Source organism: Homo sapiens, chromosome 7 (genome assembly GCF_000001405.40).
Source record: "Homo sapiens chromosome 7, GRCh38.p14 Primary Assembly".
NCBI classification, from domain to species: domain Eukaryota; kingdom Metazoa; phylum Chordata; class Mammalia; order Primates; family Hominidae; genus Homo; species Homo sapiens.
In genome coordinates, this window is record NC_000007.14 from 48,845,407 (window position 1) to 48,855,701 (window position 10,295).

The 10,295-nt window shown below is 40.1% G+C and overlaps 1 pseudogene, besides 1 other annotated feature; it reads right to left on the bottom strand.

Moving 5' to 3' along the window:
- CDC14BL (CDC14 cell division cycle 14 C-like) lies at window positions 953-2,524 on the bottom strand (annotated as a pseudogene).
- Window positions 4,258-4,458: a silencer, noted in NCBI's record as "peak6515 fragment used in MPRA reporter construct". NCBI's record gives its function as "represses an SCP1 promoter by STARR-seq MPRAs in K562 erythroleukemia cells {active_cell/tissue: K562}" and the evidence as "EXISTENCE:reporter gene assay evidence [ECO:0000049][PMID:32103011]".

The following is a 10,295-nucleotide window of genomic DNA, read 5'->3' on the forward strand; positions in this document are numbered from 1 at the left end:
AGCTGAACAGAAAATAAATACATAAAAAACCTCCATCAGATCCTCAATTCTTCTGAAGGCCAGCAACTACAATGCTTGCCATCACAAGGACACACATGCACCACAGACCAGCCAGCTCCCTGGGTACCAGAGGGCTTGGGTATTTACACCTGAGACTAAATTTACAACAGCATTTTTGTCATTCAGCTTGAGAGCTGGGCCTTTCTTTGAGTCATTCTTTTTGGGAGCAAGCCCCCAAAATCCAGCCATAAACTGGCCCCAAAACTGGCCATAAACAAAATCTCTGCAGCACTGTAACATGTTCATAATGGCCCTAATGCCCACGCTGGAAGGGTGTGGGTTTACCGGAATGAGGGCAAGGAACACCTGGCCCACCCAGCCCAGAGTGGAAAACTGCTTAAAGGCATTCTTAAGCCACAAACAATAGCATGAGCGATCTGTGCCTTAAGGACGTGCTCCTGCCGCAGTTAACTAGCCCAACCTATGCCTTTAATTAGGCCCATCCCTTCGTTTCCCATAAGGGATACTTTTAGTTTATTTAATATCTATAGAAACAATGCTAATGACTGGTTTGCTGTTAATCAATATGTGGGTAAATCTCTGTTCGGGTCTCTCAGCTCTGAAGGCTGTGAGACCCCTGATTTCCCACTTTACACCTCTGTATTTCTGTGTGTGTGTCTTTAATTCCTCTAGCACCACTGGGTTAGGGTCTCCCTGACTGAGCTGGTCTTGGTACATTTGCTTGCACCCAAACTCAAAAGTTCATTACTGAAACCCCAGTGGACATTTTCTCCATTGATTAGCTTCTTAGGTGGAAAGCAACTAAGTCTTTTGCAATTTTGTTTTGTTTTCAAATTGTGCTAATTTCTGTTGCAGTTTTCAGTTCCTAGAGTCTTCCTTCAGTTCTGGTCACAGGTTTTTACTTAATGCAAAACAGTTTTAGTCCTTGAAATGGAGAGAAGCAGCTATCTGTCAGGGGGTCCTGATGGCTACTATGTTCTGAAATCTTCGAGTCAGGATAGCAGGATGGGAAGAATGTAGTCACAAACAATCCACCAGATGACAACACTACACAGTGTAAAGGTCAGCACAGCCAGGGGAGATGGGAGAAGAATATCGTTTGTTTTTGATTGTCTTTGCCTTTTCAGGGCCCGACTTCTATCACCTTGTGTCACTCCATTGATTTCGTCGTCATCACCGTAAGGTTTGGGTTCTTGCTGGTCTTGATTCTCGACCCCATTTATGGAAATGTCATCAACACCAGAGAGAAGTTTGGAGAAGGCTGCTCTGTGTTGTCCATTCTCCTGCCCCTTTAACTTCTGACGAAAATAGTCCCCTTCCAGCCAGAGGCTTGTTTGCTTCATCACCAAAAACTGCTGCGGAGGCCCGATCACCAAGCCAGGTCTGCAGATCCTTACCCACGCAATGGTCTCGGCTGCTGTCATCCTGTAATGCTTCATGATGTAGCAGGCTATCAGAGTGCCTGTGCGACCAAGGCCAGCTTTACAATGTACTGCAATGGCACCCTCAGCATTTTCACAGATATCCAGAAATCTTTTGACAATGGCATCAGTAGGGGTGCTGCCATCTGCAAAGAAAAGATCATGGTGATCGAAGCCAGCATCCGTAAAGCGTTTGGCATCATGTATCCTTTTATTCAGACGAATAATGGTAGTAACATTGTGATTCTTAAAATATTGAATATAAGTCTCGGGAGAATGTTGGTGGTAACCACTTTCAAGTCTGGCTCTTGAATGAGGTCCACAGAAGGCAATAAATCGGTCTGGTATTAGCCAATTTAAATCTCCGTTTTCTGCTTTTTCATAGTGTTCATATTCATCAAGGTTAAATGAGTTGAAATTAAGGAAGCCATACTGCATTGCCTTCTTTACTGCATGAAAACAGGACACAGGAAGGGGAACGTCACACTCTGGGGACTGTTGTGGGGTGGAGGGAGGGGGGAGAGAGAGCACTGGGAGATATACCTAATGCTAGATGACAAGTTAGTGGGTGCAGCGCACCAGCATGGCACATGTATACATATGTAACTAACCTGCACAATGTGCACATGTACCCTAAAACTTAAAGTATAATAATAAAAGAAAAAAATATTTAAAAAAAGAAAAAGAAAATAAAAAGAAGTGTAATGTACAAATTGCAGCTTCCATAGGCAGCATCTCTGAAAGGAATATAGGATGTATCTCCAAAGATTAATATTCTATATGCTGCTTCTGGGGTTCTCCCCAAGTATATAACCATGTAGCATCCAACAAGGAAGGCAGCATTTGCTTGTTTTCTCTGATCAGAGCCAGTAAAATGAACAATTTTCTTCCTTAACATTGTAATGGACTTTAATTTCTTATTTATCTTGCAACAATATCTGTAAACCATTTGCCAGATTGAGTGGTCCAAAGTCTTCGGAGAAGTTCTCATATTCGAGTTCATTATCTATGCTGAAATAATGTACATTTGATGCACTCTTTGGTCTGCTGTAGAGAATGGCAAAACGAAGGCGATCGGTGATGTCCAGGTACACGTCGTCCTGGGGGTCCCAGCGGCGCGGGTCCTGCAGCGTGGAGCTGCGCATCTTCTTCACACCCTGCAAGGTCAAAGAGCAGCGCTGCCAGCAGAGGGGCGCGGCGGCCCAGCTCGACCGCCGCTTGCTTTTCCGCTTCCTGGAGGCGGCCGCAGCCGGTCAGGGAGCAACGACCACGGCCCCGCGCGCGCCCGCCGAGGCTCGCGCCAGCGCCGCGCGGGCTCTCAGGACGGCGGGCACAGAGCGGCCTTGCGGGGATGGCCGGAGCCAGCGGAGCCCGGAAGGAGGAGGTGGTGCAGGAGCCAGAGGAGGGGCCTGGCCCACAGCGCCTGCCCCGCTCCCTCCCGCAACCGCCCTCCCTTTGCTTTTTTAAACCATGAACTGAAGGGCTATATCATACTGACATCAACAAAGTGTTAGATGAATAAGTCATCATGCTCTTGTCATAGCAACCACCTGGATCTTAACCTTCTCTCCAGTCTCTGGAAATTCAGCCAAATAAGTGTTACTTCGAGTATGACTTTATTACCAAATGACAGTATTTTTGAAGCACTCATTTAGGATCCATTAAAAGTTGGAGGTTTTGACCATTTGATATTGAAAGTCATGCCTGCTTGGAGACAAGTTAATGTTGACATATTGCTTTTTCACCAACTCTCCCAATACCCCAACCTTGGAAACATGGGAGCACAAGATAGTTAAATAGATAGTTTAAAAGATGGCATTTCTTTTTTCTGTTCTATGTGGGCTTTCCAAAGAAAAGTCTTGGAGAAGCTAAACAATGTGTGTAGAAGATCACACAGGGATATCACAAGTGATAAATTTTATACCCAGTGTCATCCCAAAGCCAATATGCAGCTTCGCACTCCTCGGCAACGGAACAGGCCTCTCTCCTTCACAAAAGAGAGCTTCGTGAAGCTTCATCCCTAAGTTTTGGGTTGGGGGTAAAATAAAGAAGAGGACTGATGGGTTGTTCTTGAGCTTACTACTCATTCATACATCTTCTTGCCCTTTCTGTTTGGTGGGATTTCCCCTAATCATTTATATCCTTCTGGTGTCCACAAGGAGACCTAAATTCCCAATTAGATAGGCTTTATGAAATTTTAAAAGTAAATGTATATATTAGAATTAGTTTAGGAGAAAGGAGAGAAGAGTAAAAGAAGATAGGTAAAGATTCATATTTGTCCTTAAAGATTCAAGCTTCTGGATGCCACAAATATTTTGATTAATGGGGACCTCAAGAATAATTTTGCTCACCACTGTCCCAATGCTTGCCCCCCATCCACAATATTTCTGTCCAGTGAATGCATTGTATTTTCTTTTCTCCAGTTTCTGTTGGAATACCCGTATCTGATAGGAAACACACGTCTGAAGGCATGCAGTGAGGATGTTGATTTCCCTTGCCTTTTCTTATCATTTATTAATAGATTCAGAAACAATTTACTGAATGTTTGCTCTTTGCTAGAGACCTGGTTCTTGCTAAGAAATGCAACCTTTCATATGAGACAGTCTTGCTCTTGGAATTTGCTTGTATAGTCACCACACTATCCATGAACACTTAGACCCCTGTTTATAATAATTTTAAAAATCCTAAAGACAACTGATTAGAAAAGTCACTTCATCCAGGTTGGGCCACTCAGATCCCTTCTTCTATGAGGTAAACTTGAGTCCCAGAGCCCCTCCTTATTCTCTTTGGGGTCCCCGAGTGAAATGCTCATGTAAAATTTAATCTGGGTAGCCATATCTGAAATAAGTGAAAGGTAGGCTGAGAAGGCCATGCTTCTAAGAAAAAGTAATAAAGCAGACTCCTAGAGAGAAACAACAATGATTGACCACGTGGCACCAGAGACGATGGAGACTGTTATCTACCCTTTCAGCCTGAGGTGGTTTCCCTCTAGTTATTGGCATCTGCTTCTCAAGAGATCTTCTCCTTAAGTTCCGGAGATACTATCTTATTCTTCCTTCCCCAGTCCTCCTGCAATTGTCTGGCTAGTCTGAGAGTGTTTGTATCTACAACTCAATGATTTCTGCCTAGGTCTTTGTTATTCAGGTAGCCACAGGAATAGACTCTTTTGACACATCTGAAAAGATATGTCCATGGCCGCTTCTCTGTGGGAGGAAAGTAAAGGGCTCTACTTTTCTCAGAGAGGTTATTTATTTTTCATTGTTGAATCCCTTTTGCTCCTTCTACCTTTACTGTTGAACTCCAATGTGTGTGGAGGGTGTTGGGCATGGAGAAAGTTTTATTTTCTCACCCATATTAGCTACCATTTTGACCACCATTTCTGCATAAGTTGGGATATACAGACAACTAGAGGAAGGTTTAAAGAGCAGTCTACTAATTGCCTCCAAGATCATCTAAACTTTACAGAGTCAAGGCTGTGTGGAAAAGTAAGCTATTCTGTAATGTTGGATCAAACAAAAGGGGAGATTCTCACTGGTCATGCTTATTGAAAACAAAACCCAACAAATGAGGATAACTAAATTACAATGACCAAACAGGGTTGTCATGATGCCACAGTTACTCGCCTGAAATTCCTGTACCTTTTTACTTATAAGAATTCCAGGAGCTGGTTTCATCACAAACTGATAATGACTATTCCAAGAAGTGCTGTAGCCTTTAGCCAATCATCTGTTAGCTCCTTTCTGTTGACCAATGGTATTTCTGGATGAACAGGCTGAGACCACCTTGGTATACCTCTTCGTTTTGTCCTTAAAAATCTGCTTGTAAACTCCCCAGCTGAAAGCACTTCTCTGACGTAGTTTGCATATGTGTTTCCCGGGTTACACTCCTCAAATTTGGCCAAAACAAATTCTTTACTTATGCTAATTTTGCCTTAGACTTTTATTTCAGATCAACATTATGGATGCCTTAGATGGATGTGTTTTAGGTGACCCAGTTGTTCAATGGGTCGCCTCCATTCTTTATCTCTTTCTAAAACCTCTTATTCTTCCCTTAGTCTTATTCTTTTAAGTCTTTCCCCCATCCTAAATTCTAGTCCTCATTTTTTGTCTATTTTAGTTACTCTTCCCTAAATACATATCCAATCCCGAATCTCCTCTGAATTTTATGGTGAGATTATTATCCCCAGCTCCTCACAGCTGCTTGTTTATGCTCCTGGGGAAAGAGAAACTATGGCATCAGTCATGGAGTCACCTCTGCAGCCTGGCTTTCTCCCTTCCCTTTCGTTTGAGCTCCAGCTATAAGCTCGTTCCCAGAAGCTATACTTGCTTTGGCGCTTATACTCATTCTGTTCCCTCTATGTAAAGTAAATATTCTCCTACATTTCCTAACTTTGTAGCTTATAATCCTCTGTCCAAACTTGGTGGTTCCCAGAGTACTTGCATCTTATTTGATTGTTTGGTCACTGCACCTGAGAATTTGCCGTGTGTAATTCTGCATAAAGAAATACTGTATGGTAATATATTCAACATACCATCTCACATGCTTACCTGATACATCTGCTTGTATGGCTGTGAAGTTTAAATAACTTAAAATACAAAAAAATTAGGGCTATTGGATTTGGGAAATACAAGAGTTGTAAAATGACTAATTAAATAATACAACAGTAAATGATTTTATGGCTTCTAGTTATTTTTCAAGCTGGAAATTATTTGGCATATAAGAAAATGCAAGAATTCAAGCAAGATATTTGTCATAAAATAAAATGATTAAGGTGGGGATTTCATGTGGTTCTTTCATTTGCTCCTCTTGCGTTAGAACAATTCAGGAGGTTTGTGCTTATGAGCCGTTTATGACACTTAATTCGTCTTTAAATTAAGGCATATTTTCACTCCAGGATTGTTTTTCCCCTCCATATAAAAATAAAAGACAAGCTTTGTAAGGCCTATGAACAGTTTAACTAAGTTGCTTGCCCTTCATGCCAGTGACAAGTAATGAGTAAGAACTAGTAGGTGTCATTGAGAAAACAGACATTGTCACTCCAGTGTCAATCAAAATTATCTGGTAGTGAAAACTGGACTTTAAATTTTAAAAATAACGTGAGAGCTGCTAGAAAAATTATGAAGAATTGAGTAGGGTCACAGCACTCGACAAATCTTCCAATTTCTCTGCCACTGGCTTAGTGTCACCTGTACATTTTCTAGTCTAAAAGAATGTAATAGCCCAACAGGGTCAGCAGCGATATGCACCTCTCCCAAATACATTTCTGTTTACATTCCTGAGGTCCAATTATGATAACAATGACATAATATGAATTCTAAACACATTTGTATTGTTGATATAGTAAGAAATTTTTCAACTAATTAGAAAACTCTACCTTTTAAAACTGCACAGTTAATAAATATAACACATACGCATGTGCTGCTGTTTCTGCTTTTGTTTTTTGTTTTAGCTAAGAGCTAAGTCTATGACTACTACTTCAGGAATGTTTGTCAATTTAATATGAGCTGAGGACCATCGCACTTCTAGCCTTCAAGCTTGTATTCTATCAGGAAGAAGGGATAGAGAAGAATTGGTAGAAAACATTGTATATCTTTGCCGGGCACATGTTTGTAGTCCCAGCTATCTGAGAGACTGAGGTAGAAGAATCACTTCAGCCCAGGAATTCAAGACCATCCTGGGCAACATAGTGAGACCTTGTCTTTAAAAATAAATAAATACAAATAAGTTTTAAAATAAAATAAAACAAAATATGTGTTTTTTAAAAAATTGTATGAACTCAACATATGGCTAATTTTCTTCATTTGTTTCATTATTAATGAAATTAAGGAAATACAAATATTCATTTTAATACAGATTTATTACGTAGAAGTGTTTGAACATCTTTACACTATTTACTCTTTTATCACAAACCCTTCATTGCTTTTTATTCTTGGCACCATTCTTAGGAAAATGGAGACCACAGCACCAGCTTCTCCCTGCAAATCCCCATTTGTGCTTGAGCAGCCAAGTGGTTCACACTTCTTGCCACATTCAGAAGAAACTTCATTCATTATGCCAGAAATAACTGAGAAATAATGAGAATGTTTCCTATAAAGTCTAAAAATCATACTAAAGAGGGGATCCATTTATACTGCTGTTAGGAATTGAATTGTGTTCCTCCTTCCAGATTTCTGTGTTGCAGTCTTGATCCTCAGAACTTCAGAATGTGACTGTATGAGAATACCGGAGTAGGTTGGGCCCATCATCTTATATGACTTGGGTCCCCATACAAAAAGGAAATTTGGATATCTCAACCTGAATGAAAAAAAGATAATCAATATATACCAACTTTAAGGTGAACCAAATGTTAAAATTATCTAACAAAGATTTTAAGGCAGGTGAATTGAAAATGCTCCAACAAACAACCAACCACAGATGAAAAATATTAAAAATTAATAAACAGCAATACGATAAAAATAATACAAATAAGAAACCAGTATAGTATAACAACTATTTACATTGTATTAGGTATTCTAAGTAACCTAGAGATGATTTAAAGTATACAGGAAGATGTGCATAAGTTATATGCAAATACTACACCATTTTTTTGTCAGAATCTTGAGCATCCTCATATGTTGATATTCAAGAGGGGTCCTGGAACCAATCAATCACCCATGGATACAGAGGAATGACTGTACACAGCAAAAAAAACAAAACAAAACAAAAACTAGAAAGCGTCAGCAAAGAATTAAACAATTCAGCAAAGACACAAAAACATAAAGACTTTGAGAGAAAAGAGGAGACCAGTTGGGCACAGCTGCTGTAATGTGATAAACAGCTTTGAAAAACTAGGTAATTTTACTTTTTTATTTGTGGTTACATTAGTTTGCTAGGGACAATCACTTTAATCATTTTTCTCCTGAGTATGATGTCCACCTGTATTTCTAAAACAATTGGCTTATGTCATAATTTCTTGTTTTTCAGATTTTTGTTTTGTTTTGTTTTTTGAGATGCAGTCTTTCTCTGTCGCTCAGGCTGGAGTGCAATTGAATGATCTCGGCTCACTGCAACCTCCGCCTCCTGGGTTCAAGCAATTCTCCTGCCTCAGCCTCCCGAGTAGCTGAGATTACCGGCACCTGCCACCATGCCCAATTAATGTTTGTATTTTTAGTAGAGACAGGGTTTTGCCATGTTGGTCAGGCTGGTCTCGAACTCCTCACCTCAGGTGATCCACCCACCTCAGCTTCCCAAAGTGCTTGGATTACGGGCATGAACCACTGTGCCTGGCCCTGTTTTTCAGTTTTAAGAATTGTCTGTTGACTTGCTGCTATGCAAAATGAGGATACCATTGTTGAACACACACACACTCACCACCTCCTTTCATTTTCCCAGGGTAGTTTTGGATTAGAGCAATATCCTATGTTACATTTCTAGGATAAAATGTATATTATCTGCTTCTGAGTAGTGGAATATATTTTGAGTTAAATTACTTCCTATATGCATTTCTTAAATTACCACCTTACCTTATATTTTCTCTTTTCTCTTTCTTTTAAGCTTCTTCATTGTTTGCTATCCAAGTTACAGTCTAATTTGAGATTTTCTGAAGATTGATCACAGTCTGTCATTGGCATTGGGAAAAGTGGAATGGAAAAAGTCTTTTTGCCTTTTTAGTTTTGTTTCCATTTTGAATTCCATACATGTGTTATTTTGATAAAAATTAAAATGTTGTAAGAGAAATAAAAGCAATTACTAGGAGCTTAGAAGAAGTTAAAACTTTTTTAAGTACTTGAGATTATTATATGTTCCCACTGTCCACCGATTTTATAAAGAGAAGTTGAGGACCAGAGAGACTGAGAAAACAGCACCATTCCACAGTTAGGGGAGCCAGGGCTTCAGGCCACATCTGTCTGACTTCCAGTCCAATCTCTGTGCAATACCTTAATGAGAGGTGGGGGAAGAAGGCAAGGGTGACATGGGTTGGCATGCTGTCTGTTCAGAGGATACCTTCCAGGCTTGGAGAACAACACTGTGATAAGCCACCATGATTCAATTTGTAGCCAGAAAGGTAATCCACGTCACAAGGATGACAGGGCTGAATTACAGAGGGCTGGGAGCTTCTGTCAGGATTAACTGGTCACCTGAGTAGAAGAAAAGACACTCAGCTGTGAAGCAAAATGAAACAATTACGATAAGAAGGCCCCGCTCAGGTTTACTTGCAACTATGAAGTACTGTTTTCTAGACTTGAGCTTAGTTTGGGCAAATTAACAAACTTATATATAAATGAACAAAGGAAGACCGTTTCTTGATCAAATTAGTCAAAATCCAGTGCCATGTGGCTTCCTTGCTAATGTTAGTTTACTTCAAAAAGGGGTTATTTATGCTAATCTTTCATCCATCACCCCAAGTCAATTAGCAAAGTGCGCAATTGCTTAACAAGTAATGCCTATATTATAAAATACTCTCTAATACCTTAAGATGATGTATGAATGTTGGGGTTTTATTTGTACCTCTCACTATCCCTTTATGTTACAGGCAATAATACAACAGGCCATTAATGTCTATTTAGTAATTGCTTGTTTATTAAGCACTTAACTGAAGTGCTTCTCATTAACGGGGGGGAATTTAAATAAGAAAATAATAGGAAAATAAATTGTTGACAAATGGATGTCATGGCATATGGCTACTGTTGTCAAGGCTTGCAGTGATCAGCATCTCACCTTTTTTCTTCTTTCACATACTTATCACATTTCTTTTGTGTTCTAGTGTCTGAGCTAGGTGTTGGGGGTGCAGAAATATTCTACAAGCAGTCCAAATCCTGAGGACACGGAGGAAAGAGCCACCACCTGTCTGTCTTCAGGGGAAAGGTAATGCTT